The sequence below is a fragment of the Homo sapiens genome, chromosome 8, assembly GCF_000001405.40.
Source record: "Homo sapiens chromosome 8, GRCh38.p14 Primary Assembly".
Taxonomy (NCBI): Eukaryota; Metazoa; Chordata; class Mammalia; order Primates; family Hominidae; genus Homo; species Homo sapiens.
Window position 1 is genome coordinate 37,692,158 of NC_000008.11, and position 25,390 is coordinate 37,717,547.

General features: G+C 52.7%; 1 protein-coding gene and 2 long non-coding RNA genes across 3 annotated transcripts, besides 7 other annotated features; 2 read left to right on the forward strand and 1 right to left on the reverse strand.

Annotated features, from left to right (window-relative positions):
• Positions 1-1,772: 1,772 nt before the first annotated feature.
• On the forward strand, positions 1,773-2,626 carry LOC124901932 (uncharacterized). The gene is made up of 2 exons (XR_007060887.1): positions 1,773-1,843; positions 2,258-2,626. It is a non-coding gene; the product is annotated as an uncharacterized LOC124901932 (long non-coding RNA).
• Positions 2,264-2,448: a silencer, noted in NCBI's record as "fragment chr8:37551939-37552123 (GRCh37/hg19 assembly coordinates)". NCBI's record gives its function as "represses an EF-1alpha promoter that drives an FKBP-Casp9 reporter gene in an ReSE screen in HepG2 liver carcinoma cells {active_cell/tissue: HepG2}" and the evidence as "EXISTENCE:reporter gene assay evidence [ECO:0000049][PMID:32094911]".
• LOC124901933 (uncharacterized) lies at positions 2,588-3,524 on the reverse strand. Its single transcript, XR_007060888.1, has 2 exons — positions 3,283-3,524; positions 2,588-2,826 (listed from the first exon to the last, which is right to left on the reverse strand). It is a non-coding gene; the product is annotated as an uncharacterized LOC124901933 (long non-coding RNA).
• Positions 3,236-3,585: a silencer, noted in NCBI's record as "silent region_19106". NCBI's record gives its function as "represses an Ori minimal core promoter by ATAC-STARR-seq in GM12878 lymphoblastoid cells {active_cell/tissue: GM12878}" and the evidence as "EXISTENCE:reporter gene assay evidence [ECO:0000049][PMID:35858748]".
• Positions 3,236-4,013: a biological region, named in NCBI's record as "OCT4-NANOG-H3K27ac hESC enhancer GRCh37_chr8:37553145-37553688".
• Positions 3,470-4,013: an enhancer, noted in NCBI's record as "OCT4-NANOG-H3K27ac hESC enhancer chr8:37553145-37553688 (GRCh37/hg19 assembly coordinates)". NCBI's record gives its function as "activates a minimal SCP1, AML or CMV promoter by ChIP-STARR-seq in naive H9 embryonic stem cells {active_cell/tissue: H9 hESC(naive)}" and the evidence as "EXISTENCE:reporter gene assay evidence [ECO:0000049][PMID:30033119]".
• Positions 3,625-7,862, forward strand: ZNF703 (zinc finger protein 703). The gene is made up of 2 exons (NM_025069.3): positions 3,625-4,065; positions 4,988-7,862. The coding sequence occupies exons 1-2, from the start codon at positions 3,823-3,825 to the stop codon at positions 6,515-6,517; spliced, it is 1,773 nt and encodes a 590-aa protein (NP_079345.1). The 5' UTR covers positions 3,625-3,822; the 3' UTR covers positions 6,518-7,862.
• Positions 3,636-3,735: a silencer, noted in NCBI's record as "silent region_19107". NCBI's record gives its function as "represses an Ori minimal core promoter by ATAC-STARR-seq in GM12878 lymphoblastoid cells {active_cell/tissue: GM12878}" and the evidence as "EXISTENCE:reporter gene assay evidence [ECO:0000049][PMID:35858748]".
• Positions 4,014-4,556: an enhancer, noted in NCBI's record as "H3K27ac hESC enhancer chr8:37553689-37554231 (GRCh37/hg19 assembly coordinates)". NCBI's record gives its function as "activates a minimal SCP1, AML or CMV promoter by ChIP-STARR-seq in primed H9 embryonic stem cells {active_cell/tissue: H9 hESC(primed)}" and the evidence as "EXISTENCE:reporter gene assay evidence [ECO:0000049][PMID:30033119]".
• Positions 6,990-7,501: an enhancer, noted in NCBI's record as "H3K4me1 hESC enhancer chr8:37556665-37557176 (GRCh37/hg19 assembly coordinates)". NCBI's record gives its function as "activates a minimal SCP1, AML or CMV promoter by ChIP-STARR-seq in naive H9 embryonic stem cells {active_cell/tissue: H9 hESC(naive)}" and the evidence as "EXISTENCE:reporter gene assay evidence [ECO:0000049][PMID:30033119]".
• Positions 7,863-25,390: the final 17,528 nt, after the last annotated feature.

The following is a 25,390-nucleotide window of genomic DNA, read 5'->3' on the forward strand; positions in this document are numbered from 1 at the left end:
CGGGCTGGGCACGGTGGCTCATGCCTGTAATTCCAGCACTTTCGGAGGCTGAGGCCGGCAGATCACTTGAGGTCAGGAGTTCAAGACCAGCCTGGCCAACATGGAGAAACCCCATCTCTACTAAAAATACAAAAATTAGCTAGGCATCATAGCACACGCCTGTAATCCCAGCTACTCGGGAGGCTGAGGCAGGAGAATCGCTTGAACCCGAGAGGCAGAGGTTGCAGTGAGCCGAGATCATGCCACTGCACTCCAGCCTGGGCAAGACAGCAAGACTCCGTCTCAAAAAAAAAAAAAGACACATTGAACTGGAGGCTGGGGAAGGGTTACTTTCATTTCTGTAGAATTCAGAGACAACCTGGGCTCTTCTGCTTGGGTTCCCAGGGCTAAATCTGGTGCTGATGTGGCTGCTCCCCTGAGCAATTGCTCCTCAGACACAAATGATGCAATCGGTTACAGCCATCATTTACCTTCAACTTTCTTTGTGCCAAGCATGAAACAGGTGACATGCATTGTCTGCTTCTGGTCTCCCAACTCTGAAGTGGCCACGCTTCCATTTTACCCTGGAGGAAACCAAAGCTTAGGGAGGTTCACTTGCCCGGGGTCCCCACAGCAGCCTGGTTCTGGGCCTGACTCTCTTCAGCTTGAACTGAGAATGATAGCAACACCTGATGTTTATTAAGCGCCTGACATACCGAACTGTCATTCTTCACCACAGTGTCATGGGGGCACTCTCAGGCAGCCCTCTCCCCTGTCCCATTTTAATGGTGGCCGCTCATTCCCAGGGCCATCTGAGGAGGACCTGGACAGTGGAAGGCCCCTGAGCCACGCATCTGCCACTTTTTTGCAGAGGGAGAACCTGTGTCATATGTCCTGAACAGGGATGTCTTACTCGGGCCTTCCAACCACATCGCCCTCCATAAACACAGCCCATCTGAATACAGAGCCACATTCCCTCCCAGGTGACAAGCCATTCCTCTGAAAACTACACTTGCCTTCAGGCCCCGAGGGCCCCATTTAGTGCTCTGTATAGGTTAGCATTTTAGCTAAGTGAATGGTGAATCCCAATTGTAATAATCATCTAGCAGTGTTTTAATTAGGCCTCTGGCCTGGCTATGCATGGTTTTTCATTTTCCCTCCTAAGACGTTTGGATGGATCCAGCCAAAGAAACCCTGCTGCCCTGACCAGCAGCTCAAAGTGTGTCCCTCCCGCCTTGCATGCTTTCAGAGGTGTGTCCTACCACTTCCCAGGAGGTGGGAGCAGGCCAATCTGTGTGCCCGTCAGTAATTACCACTGGGAGCTCAGGGAGTGAGGTGTTTTTAACAGGACAGTATAGTATTACCTAGGCAAATCCCCCATCACATCCTGCCAGTCTGTCCTTACCTCCTCTTCTCTCCCTTCCTTTCCTTCATTCACTACCTTTTTCCTTCTCTTTTCCTCTCCAAACAGAGAGTGAATATTCTATTGTCCTCTCTCTTCTCCCCTCTCTCCTTTCAGCTGCCTCCTGCTCTGTTTTCCAAATTCCTAAATACCTCTTCCCTCTCCCCTCCCCTTTTCCTCCTGACTTATTTCCCATTAATCATTTCTAACACACATCTGCTCAGGCCCTAGAAGGATCCCTTGGCTCCCTCTCACAGCTGGGCTGGTTACAATAATCAGGGAGACTTTCATCTTTCATAGCCTCCTAGGTCTCCCCTCTGCCCAGCTCCTCCTCCTCTGCGTTCCTGCAAAGGCCAGCCTCTCTGCACCCTGGCTTCCTTCTGCCCTTCCCGCTCTACACAGCAGTCTCCCGAAGGCAAAATGGCTTGTGGGTGGACACAGCCCTGCAGTGGACTTTTACAGGTGGTGTTTGCAGTGATGGCAATGGCTGCCCGCACAGAAGTCGGCATGAGAAGCCTGCCACGATGAAATAAATGAGATCACTCCCTCCCTTTTCATTCCCGCACCCCTCTTGCTGCAATGTGGGATCCATCTCACAGTCAGGGTACCCCTTTCCATTCGGCGTAACATGATTTTACCAAGATTAAAATTGGGGAACATGTAATTACAGCTTGTGTAATTTCTAAGCATTCTATAAGTGCTGCCCAAAATACAGTATGGATCCAGGGAGTGCACTTAGTTTTGGGTATGACTGATACTGCCTGGAAGTGGGGTCTGCTGTCTTCTACTACTGGGCAAGATACAGATTCGTGATAGCTATTTCTTTCTGTTTGAAGAGCTCCTTTGAAATCACCTCTCCCCATCTTGGGTTCTCAGGTCATCTCAAGGCGTCGGTCAGCGCGGCAGAGTCGGGAACCTGCCATCCTAGAGCAATACGCCCCGAGTGACAGCCCTGACAACCGGAGTGATGGATCGGGACTGGAAAAGTGGTGCTGGGAGCCAGGCAGTGACACCAGCGCGCCTCCACTGGCCGCCGAGCGCACGGAGAAGTGGGCTCCCCAGAGTTCGGCACCCAAAGGACCAACTTCGCCTCCGGAAAAGCGGCGGATCCGGAACTTGGATGTCAGGACTATGACTACGTAAAATCTCTGCCCAGGGCGAAGCTAGCAATGCACACTGTATCAGAAAGGCGCAGGGAGTCGGGAAGGGTATTGTTATTTTTAATTAAAAGTTTTTATCCCGAAATTTGCCTGGGGAAAGCAAGTGCTTTTTCCCCCGGAGTGAGAAGGATGGGGGGGCGGAGGGGTTGTGTTGCCGAGCAGCGCTTAGAGAGAGATCCCCCTCCAGGGACACCCGCCTCGCCCGTGATCTCGGTCTCTCCTCGTAGCAGCTGGGCGCGGTACAGTGAGGAACTTCACGCCCCTCAGCAGGACACGGTAAGAAGCCTGTAACACACCAGACACCGAGCCTCTAACGCAGGGCGCAGGCACAGCGCGCACAGCCTGGGGTCCCGCGCTTGGTCGCCGACCATGTCACTCCAGAAGGGAGACAAACTTGCAGGCTTCAGACAAGACGGGCTCAAAGTAGTTGGAGCTGCCTACGCCGCGTCCCGAGAACAGTGGGTGCCTCCGAGGCTCGGGCGCTTCCAAGTGAACACACCAAGGGGAGGCCAAGTAGGGGAAGGAGAGCGGGGCCGAGGAGAGCCGGAGCAGCTCTGGAGAAGGACCCGGGCTCCCGAGGCGAGGCCTGCCCCCAGGCGGCCTCTGGGAGAGGCTTGAACTCCAGCGTCCCAGAGCCCGCGCCGTGCGATCCCTCCCACCCCACCCCACCCCACCCCACCCCACCTCGGACACACACGGCGGGCGGGGTTACAGCCCCCGCCAGCATCACCCCCCACCCACCCAGTGGTGAGAAGGGAGAGAGGAGAGAGAGCGGCCGGAAAGGAGGACGGGGCGCAGAGCTCAGGGTCCCGGAGAAGTCCCGTCCCAGGCGGGGGACCCCAGGGCGAGGAAGGCCCAGTCGGGGGGAGGGGAGGAATCCCGGGAGCGGCCGAGACCGAGGCAGCGGCGGCGCGCGGCGCGGCCCCTTTAAGGCTCTCCCCGCCCACCGATGGAGCCGGCCTCAGCCCGCCGCTCTCCCCGCCCCGGGGTCCCGGCGAGAGCTGCGATTGGGCGGGCGCGGCGATCCCTTTGAAGTGTGGCTGCCGATCGCGGCTATTTGACGTGCGGCTCGAGGAAGGCGAAGGTTTTTGTGTTGCTAGCCGGGGCCAGCGGCGGTGGCGGCGGCGGCGGAGGCGTCGGTGGAGGAGGGGAGGCGGCGAGGAGGCGCAGCTCCCGCTGCACCGCGATCGACGCTGCGGAGCGAGCCCACCCGCCCCGGGAGCTCGCCTCCCCGGTGCTCCCCCGCCCTCCCCGCCCCCCCAGCGGCGCTGCCTCCTCCAAATGAGCGATTCGCCCGCTGGATCTAACCCAAGGACACCCGAAAGCAGCGGCAGCGGCAGCGGCGGCGGCGGGAAGAGGCCGGCGGTGCCGGCAGCGGTGTCCCTCTTGCCACCGGCGGACCCCCTGCGCCAGGCGAACCGGCTCCCGATCAGGGTCCTGAAGATGCTGAGCGCTCACACCGGTCACCTCCTGCACCCGGAGTACCTGCAGCCGCTGTCCTCCACTCCCGTCAGCCCCATTGAGGTCAGTCCCCGGCCGCTGCCCCCGGGCGCCGGCCCCATTCCTCCCACCGCGACCGGGACCCTGACCCAGCTCCCAGCGCCCCGGGGCTCGGTGCGACACCCAAGTCTGGTCACGCTGGCGGGCTGAGTGAGGAGGGGAAGAAAACCGAGGGATCAGAGCCCACCAGGGCTTCCCCAGGCTTCCCCGTGGAAGGGTCTCCTTCCACGCTCGCCCTTCGGAGCTCCGTGTTTTCTCTCGGATTGGATTTGCTCCTGGAGTCCCCTCTGGGTCCTTTACTTTTCCTCTGATCCCCAGTTTCCAGCCAGGAGTTGGTCTCTGCTGGGTCTTCCCCGCCCCCCACGCCGGGCTGTTTTCTTTGAAGCCCTGGCTGCCCGGGTCCCACTTCGCCTCTGTCCCATCCGGTGAGGGCGCACGGCGCCCTGGCGCTCCCGATCCCGGATCTTTCTTCCTGCCTCTTCCCTGGGTGCCCTCCCCGGGAGGGAGGGGCTACGGAGAGAGCGCCAACTGCAGCCCCTCCTTTAGAATCCGCGCTCCCCTCTCCTACCCCGCGGCGCCATCGCCAGAAACCCGTCCCAAGCGAAGTTCCCCCAAACTAAAGGAATAAGTTTTTTCCTGGGCCTGGAGGAGGGGGACATTAGAGGGAAGTGGCGAGTCACAGCCCCGACTCCAGAGACGTCACCTTCTCCCGCAGGGGTCCTGGGTGAACTCCTTCCGCAGGGCCTGCGGCGCACCCCGGGACCCAGCGGCAGTGTGGGCGCAGTTCCGCCAGCTGCCGCGCCCGGCCCGGCCCTCGCTCGCAGACCCTCTCCCCAGGCCCGCCCCGCCCCGTGGCGCCGCCGCCCAGCTCCCCGGGCGCCCCCGCTCGCCCCGCAGGCCTCTGAGTCTCACTCCTTCTCCCTCCCCCTGCTTCTGTCTCCCACAGCTGGACGCCAAGAAGAGCCCCTTGGCGCTGCTGGCTCAGACCTGCTCGCAGATCGGCAAGCCGGACCCGCCGCCCTCCTCCAAACTCAACTCGGTGGCGGCGGCGGCCAACGGGCTGGGAGCGGAGAAGGACCCCGGCCGCTCAGCCCCGGGCGCCGCCTCCGCAGCCGCGGCCCTGAAGCAGCTGGGGGACTCACCGGCCGAGGACAAGTCCAGCTTCAAGCCCTACTCCAAGGGCTCCGGCGGCGGCGACTCCCGCAAAGACAGCGGCTCCTCCTCGGTGTCTTCCACCTCCTCCTCGTCCTCCTCGTCCCCGGGAGACAAGGCGGGCTTCAGGGTCCCCAGCGCCGCCTGCCCGCCCTTTCCCCCGCATGGAGCGCCGGTCTCCGCATCCTCGTCCTCGTCGTCGCCCGGCGGCTCCCGCGGCGGCTCCCCGCACCACTCTGACTGCAAGAACGGCGGCGGGGTTGGCGGCGGGGAGCTGGACAAGAAAGACCAGGAGCCCAAGCCCAGCCCGGAGCCGGCAGCCGTGAGCCGCGGCGGCGGTGGGGAGCCCGGGGCGCACGGTGGCGCCGAGTCCGGGGCCTCCGGGCGCAAGTCCGAGCCGCCCTCGGCGCTGGTGGGGGCCGGCCACGTGGCGCCGGTGTCTCCCTACAAGCCGGGCCACTCGGTGTTCCCGCTGCCGCCCTCCAGCATTGGCTACCACGGCTCCATCGTGGGCGCCTACGCCGGCTACCCGTCTCAGTTCGTGCCTGGCCTGGATCCTAGCAAGTCCGGCCTCGTGGGAGGCCAGCTGTCTGGGGGCCTGGGCCTGCCGCCGGGCAAGCCCCCCAGCTCCAGCCCGCTCACCGGGGCCTCCCCGCCCTCCTTCCTGCAGGGATTATGCCGCGACCCCTATTGCTTGGGAGGTTACCACGGCGCCTCGCACCTCGGCGGCTCCAGCTGCTCCACCTGCAGCGCGCACGACCCTGCCGGGCCCAGCCTGAAGGCGGGGGGCTACCCGCTGGTGTACCCCGGGCACCCGCTGCAGCCCGCCGCGCTCTCGTCCAGCGCCGCCCAGGCCGCGCTCCCCGGCCACCCGCTCTACACCTACGGCTTCATGCTGCAGAACGAACCGCTGCCGCACAGCTGCAACTGGGTGGCAGCCAGTGGGCCGTGCGACAAGCGCTTCGCCACCTCGGAGGAGCTGCTCAGCCACCTACGGACCCACACGGCCCTGCCGGGAGCCGAGAAACTTCTGGCCGCCTACCCCGGGGCCTCGGGCCTGGGCAGCGCCGCCGCCGCCGCCGCCGCCGCCGCCTCCTGCCATCTGCACCTCCCCCCGCCCGCCGCCCCCGGCAGCCCCGGGTCGCTGTCCTTGCGGAATCCACACACTTTGGGCCTAAGCCGGTACCACCCCTATGGCAAGAGCCACTTATCCACAGCGGGGGGCCTGGCCGTGCCGTCCCTCCCCACAGCCGGACCCTACTATTCGCCATACGCGCTGTATGGACAGAGACTAGCTTCAGCCTCGGCGCTGGGATACCAGTAACTACAGCTCTTCCTCCACCCCAGCCCCCTCACCCTCCTCCCTCTCCCTCCTCCTCCCTCCCCACCTGCCGTCGCCGCTGCAACCTCCACTACTGCTTGACCCTGCCGGGATTCCCCACCCAGCCCTTCCCCACCGGACTGTGTATTTATTTACTATAATGTTAGCTTACAAGCTGGGAATATAAGTGCATTAACGGCCCACATGAGTCAATGGTATGCAAAAAGTCTGTGTTCTCCCAAATAATAATATTAATCCCACAAATAACGACATGATCCCCGCCCCTGTTCCTTTCTGTTATTTTTTCTTAGATATAAGTTTTACATTTTTTATTCCTTTTCCTCTTTTTTTGGTTTTGATTGGTTTGGTTTGAGGGAGAGTTGGGGTCTTTGGGTTCTTCTAGACGTTTTGTTTTCCCTTCCTGGGGAGTTTCTTGCATGAGTCTTAACTTAAAACTACGTTTCCGCCTTCTCTTTTTCCCTCTTCCCCCTTCATTCCCTCTTGTTTCCTTCCATTTGCGGTTCTGTTTTTGTTTTTTGTTTTGTTTTGTTTTGTTTTTTCCTTTGTTGTACAAGTAACAGAGAGGAGGTTTTTTTTGTAACTCATTTTGGGGGTGGAGGGGGCCACCTGGGTGGCAGGGGCCCTGGAGCTCTATTGACCTGGTACACTGCTCCGGGACTCCTCCCCCGCCACCCTCCGCGCATAGGGTCCTTGGTCTGGACCCTGCCCCCCAAAAGTAGGGCCTTGCTCCTCTACCTTGCTCTGAGCACGGAGAGCCCTGACCCCACCAGTAGGCTCGCCCCCAGAAGGGCCCAAGTGGCCGTCTACCGTCACCTTCCAGACTCCCGCCCCTAACACCCAGTGGCTACAGTGCGCCTGTCGGGGCACCTGGAGCGCTCACCTGGTTGAATTCAAAGTCCCAGAAGGCCCCGCTGGCGTGAAGCCGGCCCCTTACATTTTGCGAAGTGCATTATAGTCCTTGTTTTTCTCTCCCTCGTGGGGGCAACGACCCCTCCCCTGGCAGTAGGGGTGGGGTAGGTGACTCTCGCTAGATCCCTCCAAAGCAGACCGGTGGCGATGTCAGCGGATGTCACGAGCTCGTTAGCTGCGTTCGGGGAAGGTTGGGGCGTCAGGGAGCTCTCGGATCACAGCAGCCCCCGCCCTCTCCTAGGCCTGGCCCGGCAGAGCCCCCAGAGTGGACCCCCCAGCGACTGGGGTCTTCTCCCCACTCCTCCCTCCTTCTGGTCTGATGCGGCAGCGCGGGGGCTGCGGGGCCTGTTTGGGACGAACAGAGCTCTCCCTTGGTAAGACTTATTTTGTTAATAAATGGAATACTTGGCTATATTCACACCGTGGTGTTTTTCTCTCTTGCCTCGCCCACCCTCTTCCAGACACCTAAGCAGATGCCCTTCTTTTATTCTTGTTTAAAATGCCTTATGGTTTCCTTCTGTGATTTCCGTTCAAGGACGAGTTTAATGCCTTTCCTCAAGAAATGGGGGAGAAAAAACAAAACTTCTGCCAACGCATTACAAATAACATAAAACCACCTTTTAATTTTTTTCCCCAGTTGGTTATGTAGCTCCCAGCCTCACTTCAAAGGCCTTGACATTTCCTGGGGCCAGGGTGGAGGGTGTGTGTAAAAGTGGATTTTCCTCTGGGCCCAGATGCGACGTGCTAAGGGGGCTAAGAAGGGACCCCAGGACCCCAGCACCAAGGGCTCCGGCAGAGACTCCAGCAGCGCAGTCCTGGAGCCCGGCGGCCTGGCGGGCAGAGACGAAACGCCTTTGGCGCCACCTGGTGGCAGGAAGACGAGCGACAGGCCTCGGAGAGAAGGCGCAGCCCGCACTAGCCCCGACGGCACCTTGGTTCTTCTCATCTTCTGAACGCGAAGGATTCCTACCTGCTGTTTTTGTGGGGCGTTTCCTCTCTCCTGACCAGAGGGTAAAGGCACCTGCTGAGAGGGTTGCTTCTCAAGGCTTGGGGGCTCCCCTCAGCCATCGCTGGGTTGTCGACCTGGGTCATCTGCGCCCCGGAAACTTCGAAACAGGGTTTGGGTTTTGCTGAGAAGATGCGACGATGACTCAAGACCTTGAAGCCATTCTCAGTCCGGAGGAGCCGGGCCCCTGGGCCTGGCTCGTCCATTTTCTTGAGCTCGCACGACTGACACTGGCCTCTGCATCCTCGGGCAAGAGAGGGCGGGTGCTGTTTACTGACGTGTTGGCCAGGGAGCCTGCCCCCTGTACCATAGACAGGCCCTGCGCGAGTGTCCAAGGCGGGAGGAGAGAAGGGACAGCTCTGGGAGGCCCAGCCACGTCCAGCCCAATGCAGACTCGCTGCCCTACCCCCAGCAGCGAGAGCGGGCTGCGCCCGCCAAGGCACGGCGGCTCAGACTTCGGCTGCCCGACGCCAGGACCCCGCTCCATCGGGCCGGGGGCGCTTGCTCCCTGCGCAAGGGCCTGGGCGCGCGGGGCCAATGGGACGCTCTGCAAAACCGCCTCCTGCGCCGCTTCCTGGCCGCGCTCCTCGTGGGATCTGTCGTTGGGGTTGTGCTGTTTGCTTTTTCTGTAAGGAATGCGACTTGGGAGTTCGTGCTCTGAAAGGTGCATGCTTTTGAAACGTCTGTGGCCCGAGGTCAAGTGCAGTGCGTAGGATGGGGCCGGTTTCTCTGCGCTGTTTTTGGTTGTCCACAAACTCGACGACAGACAGGGCGTGTGTGTGTGTGTGTGTGTGTGTGTGTGTGTGTGTGTTTGTGTGTGTGTGTGTGTGTGTGTGTGTGTGTGTGTGTGTGTGTGTGTTTTACCAAATCTTTGGATCTAGCAAAAGGAAAGGGATCCTGGGGTGCTCCTACCACTGGGCACTGGGAAACCCGAATTAGAGAAAGTGCCCTGAGACCAGATCAGGGTCTTCCTGGGAAACCAGCATTATCCAATTTCTCGGGGTTCAATCTGGCCCGAATCTTTAAACGAACTAAATGTAGCGACTCGTGGCTTTATTGTTTCTTTTTCTGTTGTTTTGTTCGTTGTTTATTATTTCTTTGCCATCTTCCCTTCCTCTGAAGGCCCCTCTTTCCTTCAGAGACCCACCCCCTCACTATGTTTTTTAATGCCTGCTAAAAATGATGGAAATTGCTCCCTCTGTAGGGCGACTTAAACTTTGCTTTCTTACACTTCAAGTCTTCAGACCTCCCTATCTACAAACCAAAGGGCTCCTCTTGTTGGGAGGAAGGAAGGAAGGGACGCACAACCAGCAAATTCCCTATACCAAAAGAAACTGTTCTAAAAGGTGTTTGGCTTATACCTTAGGTGTAAGAATGCAGTTAGAGAACTCCTTAGACTACAGAGTTTCCCCCATAAAATGTATTGGTGGCCTTTGGTGACTGGGAAGTTCACTGTTGGGCCTGGTGGGAATAGGCTGCCCCCAACTACCATTGTGGCCGCAAAGGGCAGGTCACATAGTCTGGAGTGTCCAGTTCTACTCTGAAAAGATGGCTCTCCCCACCTAAGAAATGTGACAGTTTTAATAAGCTGATGAAAAGTTTGTTACTTTCAATAGCTTAATTCCCATTAAACAAAGTTGCCATCTTAATGGAGGTGGTGCTCCCCTATCCAGTGCTTATTTGAATAATTAATGCCTCCAGCAACCCTTTCTTTGAGGGTCACCTCCACCTTCCATTTCTCCACCTCCTCTTCCCAGCCCTCCTCCGCCTCTTTCTCCTAATCTGTCCCAGGCGCCAGAAATGGGGCCGGTGTTCCCAAAGCACCAGGAAGGGTGGAAGCCACAGGGCTGGAACTTGAGACACTGGACGTTCCTGGCTCCAGGTCCTATTTTCACACCTCTTGCCTGGTTATTTTTGTGGCCTTGTGGCAGCCATGGGAGGAAGGGAGGAGGAGAAAGAGGGGAAAGACTCACCCTTGGATATAGGCTGGACTCAAACAAAATCATGTGGTGTTAAGTTTTTAACTTCCCAACTGTACACCCGCAAACCCATCTCCTAAGAAATTCATAGCCCAAGCGGGAGGTGTGGGGCCCTTCCCCATCTTTCTGCAGCCATAATTGCTCTGCCCTACCTAGCATACTGTGATTGTATCTCTGGGTATATGAACTAACTCCCTCCTGATGTATGTCTGGGTTACGGTGGAATTCATCTTACAATAATCCTGTGGCTCTACACTTTATTAATCATTCTGTAGGGGAAGCTGCACTCCAGTTTTCTGTTTGATTTGATTTCATTCATCCTGTCTTTTTGCAAAATAGATGGTTGAGTGCATCCGATAATGTATGGTTTAATTTGGAGCACTATGGGTTTGAATTACCATTTTCATAATGTGCTGTGCATTAATGTGTTACATCATTTACAAAGAGGAATGTGCCGGGTTTCAAACTTTCTCCTGAAAGCCAAAGTCACCTAAAGGAAACAAAGCCAAATCACATCAACCCATCTTCTTACCTCCCTGCCAGAGAGCCTCCTGCCTCCCCAACCCCAGTTAAATCTGCCAAAGCTCATAAAACCCAACATGAAGCCTTTGTATTCACATAATGCAGGTGGGTGTCGAGGTTTGGGGGAAACTTTGCACATGGCTGCCCGGGAGCCGTCAATGGCAGTACAAAGCTCCCCCTCATTATTGCATAACAACAGCTTTGCAGCCAACCCGGTTTTCATTTTTTTTTTTTCGGAGACCTCCAGTGGATGGCTCTTCGTCGACCCTAATCCCAGCACTCCCTCCCCAATGGCTGTAATAACACCAGCTGTCTGTTACTCAAACTCTGACTGAGGAGGAAAAAGCACTGATTATCCAAATACAGTCATTAAAGGGGAAATGTGTTTTTAGGACTGTCAGAGTGATTAATGAGGGCTAGCCGTCTTTGCAAATGCACTTGTTTAGTCTAACTGGCAGCTTCTATTTTCCTATTGATTTATTGCAGCCGTTGCCGGGCCTTGGTGTGTGCGAAGTCAGGGCACTTCACAACTGGGCCCTGTTTAAACAGGAAAAGCATGCACCATTTTATCCAGGAGGGAGGGAACAGCCTAAAGTCTCTCCCTTCAGTTCAGTCTCCAGTGGCCCGGACCAACAAAGAAGACATTAAAAACCTGCAGCCCGGAAAGGGAAGGAAACTGCCTCTCCTCGGTCGTCCCTGGTCACTCGGTTCCAAGGTCAGTGGAGACGCACCATGGCCCCTGGACAAAGCCCGCCCTATTGTGACTCTCAGCATGCCCACATTTTCTCCGACAGTCCCCCGAAACCAGCTGTCAGCCCCTGAGTCCAAGTTCAGGAAAGGCACCCAGCAGAGGGAGAGGCAGAAGAGGGAAATGCTGACACGAGGTAAGGGGAAAAACATAAGCAGAGCCACCCCTGGAGTCCAGGGTAGGGCAGGGGGTGTCATTGCGGTAAATTGATAGACCAACAGCTGGTTTCCACCTTTACAAAGAGAAGAAGGTGGAGTGACCTCTATTGCAGAGAGTGATACCGCCTTCTTTCCACTTGTACATTTCATGTTTTGACAAAAGAGTTAGCGAATGACCAAAATTGAGAAATGGCAGCTTGAAAATAGAGTCCCAACTATTTGAGGATTTCACTTCCAGGTGGCCATCATCGAAGCAAACAGACTTTGCAGAATTCCTATTAGGTGCCCAGCACAATGCTGGATACCGTGAGATGCAGAAGAAAACTCAGACAAACTTCCTGCCCCATTGAGCTGGGGGAGACAAGATGCGCCCGTGAGACAGGGAGCAAGATTGCATTATACATAACTGCGTTTCTGCTGATCTGAGAAAGTGCTAAATCATTCTGTGCAGACAGCGGAGAAGAGGATAGGATATAATAAGGCGCTAATTGTGCAGATCAGATGGTCGTGCCAGCCACAGGAGCTGGAGGAGGGAGAGCTCACTGGGGCTGATATAGGGGAACCTGGGGCTCCCCAATTCCTCCTAAGCCCATGCTCTTTTGAAGATGGGTGAGGTTCTCATTCTATAGTGATGAGAAGGCTGAGCCCCTGAGTCAGTAATTTCCATTTCTAGAGCAGATCAAGGAACAGGCTTAATTAAGGCTATATAAACACATCTGAATTTTCTTCTACCCACTCTCTCCCTAATCAGCTTATACCTCCCCCACAGCATTCCCAGCATGGAAATGGTTGGTAAGTCTTCCTAAATGAAAAATACCTTTCCAGGTTTTCCTGGGATGGTGGCATATCACCAGCATTATTAACACTTCCTAAAACAGAAAAAGCTGCTAGTAGATTTAGATTACATATGAACTGGGTTGCCTTTTTCTTAAGAGAAAATAATTTGAACCTGTTGGCTGAGAGAAAAGGAAGATACTATATATATATATATATATATATATATATATATATATATATATTTTTTTTTTTTTTTTTTTTTTTTTTTCCGAGACGGAGTCTTGATCTGCTGCCCAGGCTGTAGTGCAGTGGTGCAATTTCTGCTCACTGCAGTCTCTGCCTCCCAGGTTCAAGCAATTCTCCTGCCTCAGCCTCCTGAGTAGCTGGGATTACAGGTGCACACCACCACTCCTGGCTAATTTTTGTATTTTTAGTACAGACAAGGTTTCACCATGTTGGCCAGGCTGGTCTTGAACTCCTGACCTCATGATCTGCCCACCTCAGCCTCCCAAAGTGCTGGGATTATAGGCGTGAGCCAGCATGCCCAGCTGAAAGTGACCACGTTTTATGAACTTCAAAATGGAGACAAATCGTATACGTGTACTTTGATGAGCTTTAGGGCTCTCCTGGAAAGTCCAGAACATCCAGTCACTATGCATGTACTAGAAAGGGCATTGAAATGAGTCAGAGAACCTAGATTTTATTCTGGTTTCAAAACCTAATTGCCATGTGGCTTTGAAGAAGTCACTTAGTCTCTCTGAACCTATTTTCCCATTTCTGAAATCAAGTTGTTGGGCCCTATAATCTTTAAGGCCTTTCTAACTGGAAGAGTCTATGATCTTCTAAAATGTTGGAAGAGTGAAGCATTATGATGGTGAGAGTTGCTTAGGATGCTCTGTCTTTGGCCCTCATCAAATGCAACTCTAAATTTCCTATCAGAACAGCAAACAGGGAAGACCCAGGAAAAGAAGGCTCATGACTTCACCTCAGCAATGAGTGGGTAGGGAGGGTATATATACAGAGAGAGAGAGACATGGTCTCACTCTGTTGCCCAAGCTGGAGTGCAGTGGCTCAATCTCGGCTCACTGCAACCTCCACCCCTGGGGCTCAAGCAATCCTCCTGCCTCAGCCTCCCGAGTAGCTAGAGCTACAGGTGCATACCACCATGCCCAGCTAATTTTTTGTTGTTGTAATTTTTGTAGAGACAGTGTTTCGCCCTCTTGCCCAGGCTGATCTTGAACTCCTGGGCTCAAATGATCTGCCCACATCAGCCTCCCAAAGAGATGGGATTACAGGCATGAGCCACCGTGCCCAGCCGGAACACAGGAAGAATATTGCAGTGTGGATTTTTTCACCCAGAGAACTGACTCCAACAAAGTGAATTATTAAATTTGTATTTAATTTGATGCAATGCTGAGTATAGGGTGATGTAGGGATTTCAGAGACTACGTCGGGGTGCTTAAGTGGGTTAGGAATTATTTAAAATAATTTTGAGACTGCTGTGAGGTTAAATCAAGGTCTACAAAAAGAATCAGATTTTTCATAGCCTACAGCCAGTTGCTTTTGAAAAATGGGGCAGAAAGAAAGAGAGAGAGAAAGAAGGAAGGAAGAAGGAAGGGAGGGAGGGAGGAAGGGAGGGAGGAAGAGAAAGAAAGAGAAGGAAAGAAAGAAAGAAAGAAAGAGAAAGAAAAAGAAAGAAAGAAAGAAAGAAAGAAAGAAAGAAAGAAAGAAAGAAAGAAAGAAAGAAAGAAGGAAGGAAAGAAGGAAGGAAGGAGAGAGGAAGGAAGGAAGGAAGGAAGGAAGGAAAGAAGGAAGGAAGGAGAGAGAGAGAAAGGAAGGAATGAAGGAAGGAAGGAGAGAGAGAGAAAGGAAGGAACGAAGGAAAGAAGGAAGGAGAGAGAGAGGAAGGAGGGAAGGAAAGAAGGAAGGAAGGAAGGGAGGGAGGGAGGGAAAGTAGACAAAAATTATACCACAGTTTGGGGAACCTCTGCTCTGAATGGGCAGGGAGTATCTCCACAGCTCTTTGGAACACAAAATAAAATGACTCTTCTGGAGTTCCAATCAGAGCCAAATTATAGAATGAAAACAGCAATTTGGAGAATTCCCTTGCATGTCCTTATCCTGTTTGCTCTCCTGGGTGTGTGTATGTGCATGCATGGTGTGAGCTATAATGTGGGTTTGTAGTCAGTTCACACAGGAATCATTGTGGCTGTGCTCTTCCTGCTTCAAACATGGGCACCACCAAAAATACAGAAAGGATAGGTCAGGCCCACCCTAGGGCATCTCAGGAAGCATCATTTTGTGTGTACCATGGCACAGTTAAATATACGAATATATACTGGACATTTAATTCTTAAAACAAACCTTTAGTTTCTCTTTATATGAAAACTAAAATTTATAGAGGTCAAGTAAATTGCCCAAGACTGGGCGCAGTGGCTCATGCCTGTAATCCCAGCACTTTGGGAGACCAAGGCAGGCGGATCATCTGAGGTCAGGAGTTCGAGGCCAGCTTAGCCAATGTGGTGAAACCCTGTCTCTACTAAAAATATAAAATTACAATATAAAATTACAAAAAAATACAAAAATTAGCTGAGCATGGTGGCACACACCTGTAATCCCAGCTACTTAGGAGGCTGAGGCAGGAGAATCACTTGAACCAAGGAGGCAGAGGTTGCAGTGAGCCGCCACTGCACTCCAGCCTGGGTGACAGAGTGAGACTCTGTCTCAGAAAAAAAAAAAAAAATTGCCCAAGATCTCACAGTTAAAGAGCATGAAGCCAGGATTCTAATATGGTTCTGACTCTAAAACTCTTTACACTTAGCCAAGCAGCTTCAGACTTTGTATGTTGGCAGGCCTAGATGCTATGGATAAATGGAATAAGGGTGCCTGCTCCCTGGAAAGTTCTGGCTGTGCCTGTGTGTGTTGGGACCAGTTGACTATGTACAATTCAAATGAAATTGGTCCTGCCCCAAACAAGAGCTGAGATGCTGGTCAGTGCATTGGGTTTGAGCATTCAGTAAACATTTACAGACCACTACCTACTAAGTATTTTGGTCTGCTCTGGGAATTCAAAAGATGGAGGAGATACTGGCCTTGCCACAAGGAGTTTGCAGTCAAATGGGAGATTGGTGTATAAACTAAGATATCACATTATATCTTAGCCCACACTGGCCAGGCACATTGGCTCACACCTGTAATCCCAACACTTTGGGAGACTGAAGTGGATGGATCACTTGAGGCCAGGAGTTCGAGACCAGCCTGGACAACATGCCAAAACCCCATTTCTACAAAAAATACAAAAATTAGAGAGGCCTGGTGATGCTTGCCTGTGGTCCCAGCTACTCAGGAAGCTGAGGTGGGAGAATCACCTGAGCCCGGGGAGGTCAAGGCTGTAGTTTGCCACGATTGTGCCACTACACTCCAGCCTGGGCAACAGAGCAAGACCCTGTCTCCAAAAAAAAAAAAGAGAGAGAGAGATAATGTGCTGAGGACTCTATTAATGCCATTGCAGTAATCAAGAGTATAGGCTAGGTTATACGGTGGTAACAAATTAACACACAAATCTCAGTGGCTTAACACAACAAAGTCCTCTTTTTTTTTTCCACTTATACTGTGTATCCATTGTGAATTGACGGGGATCTCTATCAGTCAGTGTTCAACCAGAGAAGCAGAAGCAGTAATATATGGAGTCATTTATTTCAAGGCGTTCACTTACGCAATCATGGCTAGCTAAGTGAGTTGGAAGTCTGTAGGGCAGGCAGACAGGAAGGGAAGATCACAAGCCAGCATCACAAGACACCCTGCTGGCTTGAGCCATGTGGAGTCTCTGAGAACAAGGAAGGCCTAAGCCCCCTTTTAAAGGGCTTGCTTCATTAGGTCAGGCCCACCCTAGATCACTTCTCTTTTGATCAACTTAAAGTCAACTGATTAGGGACTTCAATCACATTTGCAAAATTCCTTCACAGAAGCACCTAGATTCTTGTTTGATTTAGTAACTGGGGACTGGAGTTCAATCTAACCAAACCGATGCATCAGAAAGCATCAACTGTGCCACATAATTAATCAGGGCCACATAATTAATCAGGCCCACTGACTGGCAGAGGAACACACACAGAGGAAGAGCCGGAGCATCTCACACAAACAATCACATGTTGCAGGCCAAAAATGAATATGTCACCTCTGCTCACAATCTTCTGGCCAGCACTGGTCCCATGGCCCCTCCTAACTGCAAGGGTGGCACATTGCTTCTCCCTGGTGCCAGAGGAGAAGGAGGCCTGGAGGTGAGTCCACCCCAGCTGTTGTCTCGGCAGCTTCGATACTGCCCTGTCTGTGGTCATTTTACTCTCCTCCACTCTGCTTCCCAGACCTTACCAAACAGAAGCCCTTCCAAACCCACTGAGCCCTATCTACCTGGAGAAAGCTTAAAAGCTTACATCTGAAATTGTAGGAAACACAGGTGCATCTGGGGATGGACTGCTCTAGCCAGACTAGGCTGTCTCCACTAAGGTTAGGACAGAAGGCTCAGGCCTATGAGACCCTGAAGTTCATAGAAATTTGTGACCTTCTGCATACTTTGTAGTACTGAGACCTCCACCTGGTGGCTTGCAGAGGATCACCTATTTGAGCATGGAGGCAGCATATTGGCAAGCCCTCCTAACGAGAAGGATAGGCATCTTTGGTGTATTGGACTCTAACAATGCTTGCATCTGTGAAACTTACAAAAAGCAGAGGATTGATACAAAGTGATAATGATCCATGGTCACTGACAAACAAGAGCTGTCAATAGAATGCTGCTGTAAGTTCAAATGAAGAAGTCTGAGCATCGCAGACCAGATATGAGCCTTTTTCTTTCTCTAACATTTATTGAGCTCTTGCTGTGTGCCAGGCACTGTGCTGAGCACTTTGCATAGAAGCTTTCCTTGAATCCTGGCAGCAATTCTCTGCAGCAAGTCTATTGTTGGATGTATCTTGCCTAAGGCCACAAAACCAGTAAGCAGTAGAGGCAAGATTCCTACCAAGGCTATCTGGTTATAAAAACCTGTCTACCTGTGGCCAGGGCCACCCTTCACATACTATTGTGCAGGCAATGCCCCACAGGACAGCATCTGGCCAAGGGAACAACTGGGAGCTCCACAGACACCAGACCTGGGACTGCATCAGCTTGGAAGGGGGCCTTCTTCTAAATCTTCCAAAGGTGCCACGTGGCTGGGGGTAGGATAGGGGGAGCCCTGCTAACCTCTGGCCCTCTCTTCTAAAGACCATAGATCAGAAAGGAGCCCTTCAATCCCCTGATCACCTCCTGATGGTCACAGTTGAGCCTTACAGTGTGTGGAATGCTAATTGTCAATCAAAAGCAGTTCTGAAGAACCTATTATGTGTGCTAAATGCTATTGGAGGATGGAAGATGCACAGGACATGCCCCAGACATCAAACTGTTTACAATCAATAGGGAAACCCATACAAGCACATACTAGTTATGCAAAGTAAAGTACGATCACAAGTGAAGGGGACCCACATAAAGTACAAGGTATTTAGAGCATCCTCGGAGCTGGAAGGGATCATCATTCACTCAGCCCCAGAGGAGAAAGGAGAGGTCTTCGAGGCCAGTGGGGCAGCCAGAGCCAGGCCCAAGGCGGGACAGCGCAAGCTGTGTTGCGGGACACCTCTCCCACTCACACAAACCAGCTTCTGTGTGCGGAGAGCACAAAGGTACACTAAGTATAACTTAAGGAATTCAGGTCTTCAGGGCCACACGCAGAGGTGCAGCCACCCAGCAACCTGGCCAAAGAAGGGGCAACAGCCTCACTGCAGAGAAGGGGCACAATTCAAAGCCTGCCACAGAGAAAGGTAAGGCTCTCTGCACAGGTAGCATGGGGCCTGCAATTGAAACCTGTGTCACGCTCGCCGGGGCTGACTCCCCTAGTCCCAGCCACTCACTGTGGGCTCCCCTGTCCCCAGGGCCCACCCTCCTGGCTCTGTGACTGCTTCAGGGCACACAGCACAGAGAGGAGGTCTCAGGAGGCTCGTGATGGTCACACTGACAGGTAGGGCTTTCACTCCCATCCCCTCTTGATACTCACCTGCCGCCCCCGACCCCTCTCCCTTCTTTGAAAGTATTGGAGAAGAAAATGATCTTAGACAGAATCCTTCTTGGCAACCCTTGCCCCTCACCATAATCTTCCCCTTCCTGCCCCTTCCCCAGTGCCATTCTTCCCCCAACACACACACACACACACACACACACACACACACGTTCCCTCTCACTCTCACCTCCTTTCCCTCCCCCACCCCTTCCCCTCCATTTGTTTCAATGAACAGCCCCTTTTATCTATTCTGTAGGTACAAATGAAGCTGTCAAATTTGATCAGGCGCTTGATATGACAGGCTGTGGGAGTCAGGACCCCTTGAACAGAGTGGGCCTTGTCTGTCACAGTCCGCCTGACACTTCCCATAATGCCCAGACTGATGAGATTCTGAGTAGGGCCCAGCACATTTTCAACTCTATTTTGGGTGAAAACCCTTCTTGAAAGATCTTGAAAGGAGCTGGCAGTTCAGCCGCCCGGATGATTAATGAGGGTTGGCTCTGCAGGATGGATTTCTCCTGGTGCCAACAGCCGGCCTCCAAACAGGCTAGAACGTGTTGCCGTGGACTTCCCCAGCACTTCCCCTCATGGTGACACCCCCCAAAAAACCTTTCCCATTCCCCAGGCCGCCCCTCACCTCCACCACAGTCCCTCTGGCTGTGCATCTCCCGCGGCCCTCTCTCGTGTTTCTGAAGCGGGAGCAGCCTTTGCATATGGAAAAAGTTAGGCATCACGGCTGAGTGAGGCCTGGCTGAGTGAGCCAGGCCTGCCAGAAATCTGTACAGAGTGGCGGGGCGCTGAGGGAGGGTGGAGAAGAAACAGAAGGGGATGGTGACCCAGGCTCTCCTTCAGCTTACGTCCCATGCCCTGATGGTCAGGGACGGGCCTCTCTGCTTTCTCTCCATGCAACTCAGGAGCTCTAGGGACAGAAACCATGGAGTGTCTAAGGCCCCAAAGGGATCCAGCATCAAAGTCCCTGCTTTTCACTTACCCCACAGTATTTATTAAAGGAGACACTCTTGATATTTGGGCAAGACACTTCTTTACTGAGCAGGACCCTTCTGTGCAAGGTAGAAGGTTTAGCATCCTTAGTCTCAAGATACCAATTGCTTGTAATGCCTCTCAACCATGAGGACCATCAGAATAATCCAGATGCCCTTGGCGGTGGTATCAGCCTGGGTTGAGAGCCACTATTAGGGTGAAGAGCCTCCCTCGTCCCCACATGCCTTGAGAGCTACGCCCACTTCGGTGTCTCCTTCCACTCTCATTTACACCCCTCAAGCCCACTCAGCAGGGAGAGCACTTTGAAGAGGGGTAAGGAGATGAGGGTGTTCTCCCATGCACCTTTTTTTTTTTTTTTTTTGTGAGACAGAGTCTAGCTCTGTCACCCAGGCTGGAGTGCAGTGGCCCAATCTCGGCTCACTGCAGCCTCTGCCTCCCAGGTTCAGGCAACTCTCCTGCCTCAGCCTCCCAAGTAGCTGGGATTATGGGATTACAGGCATGCGCCACCATGCCTGGCTAATTTTTGTATTTTTAGTAGAGACGGGATTTCACCATGTTGGCCAGGCTGGTCTTGAACTCAAGTGATCCACCTACCTCAGCCTCCCAAAGTGCTGGGATTACAGGTGTGAGCCACCACGCCCAACTCTCCCATGCACTCTTAATGCTAACTTTCCTTCTGTGCTGGTGCCTTAAACCACCCCTGCTCTAGACTCTGTTCCCCCACCTCCTTCTGTTTCCCTGTCTTCCCAGCAGACAGCAGCTCATTCATACTTGGGGAAAAGAATGGTGCCCACAGCTTCTTTGGGGTTTCAAGCTCAGAATCCTTTGGGAACAGGTGGGTGGAGGGCAAGTGGGGTTCAGAACTTGCTGTTTCTTTTTGGAACATTCATAGATTTCTTTTTCAAGCCCAGGGTACCTCTGTCAGAGGAGAAGTTGGGTCCCTGTTACAGGGTTGTCACCATCATGGGCAGGCCATGAGGGAGGCTTCGCAAGAGCCTATGCTCCTCACTCCCCATTTTCTTCTCTCCCTCTCCCTTATGGAAAGGGAGAGAAAGAAAGAAAAAAGAAAGATGACCAGGTGCAGTGGTTCACACACATAATCCCAGTACTTTGGGAGGCCAAGGAGGGAGGATTACTTGAGGCCAGGAGTTTGAGGCCAGCCTGGACAGTATAGCAAGACCCCATCTCTAAAAAAAAATTTTTTTTTTTTTTTGTTATCTCAGTGTGGTGTCATGCACCTGTAGTCTCAGCTACTCCAGAGGCTTATGCAAGAGGATCACTTGAGCCCAGGACATCAAGGCTGCAGCGAGCTGTGATTGCACCACTATACTCCAGCCTGGGTGACAGAGCAAGACCCTGTCTCAATTTTTTAAAAAGGAAAGAAGGAAAGAAGGAAGGAAGAAGAGAGAGAGGGAGATGTAGAAAAAGGGAGAAATTCTATAGTTTCCCCGCCCTAAGCTACTGGATAGATGCTCTGAGATCATCCAGCCCACAGATGGACCCGAGACCATCCATTCATTCGTTCAGTACCATTTACTGAGCATCTACTACATGCCAGGCACTGGGCTAGATTTTGGGGCTATAATAGTGAGAGAAAAGACATGCAGCTCCTGCCTTCATGGAGCTTACAGACTAATAAGGAGACAAAACTAAACAAATCAATATACAATTATAAGTTGTAGTAGTGACAAAGAAAAAGTACAAAGTGTTGTGTAGTGCACACAGAAAGGTTACAACAACGGACCCCTCCTGACTAAGGTCAGGAAGAGTCTCTTTAGGAATGCACCATTGAAGCTGAGGCCTGATGGCTGAGTGGGGTTAACCAGGTACAGAGAGAAGAGTGTGTCAAGCTGGGGAAAGCCGCACATGAATCCCAGGCAGATTCCCCTGTCATGAAGGTGATTTCCCTTTTAGCTGTGCCTTCATGGAAGGACAAAATTCAGTAACTCAGCAAAGCCCAGGAGGAACCGGAAGAGGGAAGAGCTAGGAATGGGAAAGGAAGCCAAGGGTGGTCCAGGTTGCCAGGTGCGATGGCTCACACCTATAATCCCAACACTTTGGGAGACCGAGGTGGGCTGATCACTTGAGGTCAGGAGTTCAAGACCAGCCTAGACAACATGGTAAAACCCCATCTCTATTAAAAATACAAAAATTAGCCAGGCGTGGTGGGGCACACCTATAGTTCCAGCAACTCAGGAGCCTGAGGTGAAAGAATCGCTTGAACCCTGGAGGCGGAGGTTGCAGTGAGCCTAGATCATGCCACTGAAGTCCAGCCTGGGTGATAGAGTGAGACTTCATCTCAAAAAAAAAAAAAAAAAAAAAGGGTGGTCAAGGCATGGCATCTGAGCACCAAGGCAAGGGAGCAGGGGAACGGAGACTGAGCCTATGCAGGATGGGATCTCTCAGCAAGTTGCAAGGCAGCCCCAGGAAACAGCCTGAACTTCTCCAACTCCTACAGCTGTGGCATGGACAGTTGCTCATGCAGGCAAAAATTCAAATAATCATCACACAAATCAGTTTATAAGTACAAGGTTCTTGCAGGGAGTGTGAAGCTGGAGAGCAACTCAAGCCTTCTCTCTTCCAGAAAGATCAGTGTTTAATGAAATATACAAGAGCGTGTTTCTTACTTTTGGAGGTACATAGGCCTTCACTGGCTCCGCATTGTCTAATAGGGCCAAATTTTTCACCTAGCATTTGAGTCCCCCGCAGATGTCCCCAACGTATCTTTCCACTGCCCCTACCAGAACCAATGACAGGAGCCAAACGCAACCACTCACTGTTTCCTGGACGCTGAGCTCTAGCAGTGAGTTGCTCCTTCTTCCTCAGCATCTGCTCCCCTTCTCACACAGTCACGGCTCTCATTTTTACCCTGAGCAATCGCGGTTTCCCCTTGCTTTGTATATCCTGAACTCTTTATCTCCCTGACAGTTCTTCTCTTTGGGAGTGCCTCTCCTCTCCCTCCACTGGACCACATGTTTCTTAAAGGCAAGAAAGGCATTTTATTCCTCTGTGTGTCCTCTGTGCCTGAGACAGTGCCAGTCATGCAATGGGGCATCAACAAATGCTTGCAGTGTTCCATTCATTGAAAACCACTAAAGGGCTAAAACATGTGTCAATGCCTTTGAACTGAAGTCATCAGGTGGGTGAGGGAAGAGACCTGGGAGTGAAACTCAAAGAAGAAACAATAGAAGCCGTAATCAGAGGCCGGGCATGGTAGCTCACACCTGTAATCCCAGCACTTTGGGAGGCTGAGGTGGGCGGATCACCTGAGGTCAGGAGGTCAAGACCAACCTGACCAACATGGTGAAACCCCATCTCTACTAAAAATACAAAAATTAGCCGGGCCTGGTGGTGGGCACCTATAATCCCAGCTACTCCGGAGGCTGAGGCAGAATTGCTTGAGCCCAGGAGGCGGAGGTTGCAGTGAGCCAAGAATGCACCTCTGCACTCCTGCCTGGGCGACAAGAGCGTCTTGCGGGAGTCTTCCTATAGAAAGAAAAGAAAGAAAAGAAGGAAAAGAAGGAAGGGAGGAAGGGAGAGAGAGAGAGAAAGAGAAAGAAAGAAAGAAAGAAAGAAAGAAAGAAAGAAAGAAAGAAAGAAAGGAAGGAAGGAAGGAAGGAAGGAAGGAAGGAAGGAAGGAAGGAAGGAAGGAAGGAAGGAAAGAAAGATAGAAAGAAAGAAAGAGAAAGAAAGATGGAAGTAACGGTGATCAGGAAGGAGAGGAAGAGGGCACGCCACCTACCGAGGGCCCAGGGCCTGGCTGTTGCAGAAGACTTTCTTCTCCAGTCAGCCTCCCCTGTCCAGAACAGGAAGGAAGGTCTTGGGGAAAGAAGACTCACACTAAGGACTCTGGGCATGGCTACAAACCCTAGAGGTAGGCAGAGAGGACCCCCTGGGGACAGGGTGGTCAGTGACCTCCATCTCTACCAACTCCCCATGGCAGCTGAAATGATGCCCTCAAGTCAATCCTTGGAGTTAAGGAATGAAATCCTGCAAAAACACCATAATCCATGCCCAGGAAAGGGATGGGGGGAGAAGACAGCCCTGTTAATACATCAGTGTCACCCCAACATGTTTGGGAATAGCCAGTATCTAGAAAAACAGAGGCAGCGTCTGAAGGGAATGAGACAGGAGACCATTGAAGGGGAGAAGGAGCCAGGTCAGGCAGGCTCTGAAATAAGAACATTTTCCCAGGAAGGGCAGCTTCAGGATTGGCACCCTGGAAAGGCCTGGCAGCCAGGCAATGCACAGTGAGAGTCCAGGGCTCGAGCGCTTCCCAGCCACAATATGGGTTTCTGTGGCAGAAGCTTATCTCCCCCGCAAAGGCAACCACCATGAGGGCACAGGCTTTGCCTGTGCATTTACTGCTGTAGCCTCCATGCCCAGTCTGTGCCTGGCAGGTAATGGGCTCTCAATAGATATTTCTTGAATGCATGAATGAATGAATAAAGCAAGGTCTAGAGAATGGACCCCAAAAAGAAACTGGTCCTTCCTCTCGATTCTGCAGACAGATCCAGAAGACCTGCCCGAAGTCAGGCCCGAGTTGCTGGTAGCAATACCTGAAACGAGTCAAGTGGCCCTTCTTGCAGAGAGAGGTCCACACCTGAGCAGCTGGGGAAGGACTGCACTTTACAAACTTACCCCAGCAGCTCTTGGAACAGGACCGGGCTCCCTGCTGTCTTTTAGGATTTCTTCAGGGAGAAAAAGAATTTTCCTGGCCATCGGGCCAGAATATAAAAACAAGGCTACATAAAACAGGCCTAAGAGGGAAAGAGCAGGCCAAAAACAATACGCTTCTCTCTCCCCTTGTTTTTACAGGACCTCAACTTCTTTTCCCAGTGAGGGGGAGGAGGAGGAGGAGAGGGGAGAAAGCCCAGTGACCCTGTGCCTCCTCGCCAGGACAGAGGCCTTTGCAGGCAGGGAGTCAAAGAAAACTTTTCCAAGACTGATTACCAAGAGGGTAACTAGGTACACAGAGCACATGTGAACAGGCTCCTCGTTTCCAATTCAGGACTGTCAGATGGTGATTAATGACTAACAGCCACAGAACAGCCTTGATTGCCAACTGCTGTATTGTTAATCCTGACATTTAATGAGGCCGGACACAACTCCAGCACAATTCCACACCATCATCTGCAAATAGCACTCGACGGACTTAATTGGTTAAGTATTTGTGTGTGGGGGGCGGGGGGGTGGGGAGAAAGAGAGAGAGAATAGAGAGATATAAAGAGCAAAAGAAAGGGGCGAGGTCTCTGTAATTGTGCCCTTTGTGGGCATCTATATTTTAATGCATGTAACTGTGTTATCGCATGAGTCATCTGCGATATAACCTTGGTCCCCAACAGAAACATCCCTAATAGGGTGAAACCTCCCACCACCACCCTCCCCACCCCACTCCATCTGACCCCTACGGCGGTGTCCTTCCCACCACCATCACTGCTGCTGTCTGAGGGGCAGCTGGAAACTGGCATGTTTGTGAAGTTAAAATACATGAAAGGAAGTTGAAAGAAGAAGTTGTCTCGAAGTGGGCCAGCATCCAGGGCTCCTGAGAAGCCACTTTTTCACTGGACTCTGATCAATGGGGCCTTGGCCCGCCTGACTGGGTGGTTCCTCCTCTGCCAAGAGAGAAGTATGTTTCCCCCATTCCGGAACTCAACGCTTTCTTAGGAGA

Bases quoted from the DNA above. Each gene is read 5' to 3' on its own strand.
- ZNF703 (NM_025069.3), top strand. From the start codon at position 3,823: ATGAGCGATTCGCCCGCTGGATCTAACCCAAGGACACCCGAAAGCAGC. The intron at 4,066-4,987 runs GTCAGTCCCCGG...TGTCTCCCACAG, and splicing joins CTCCCGTCAGCCCCATTGAG to CTGGACGCCAAGAAGAGCCC.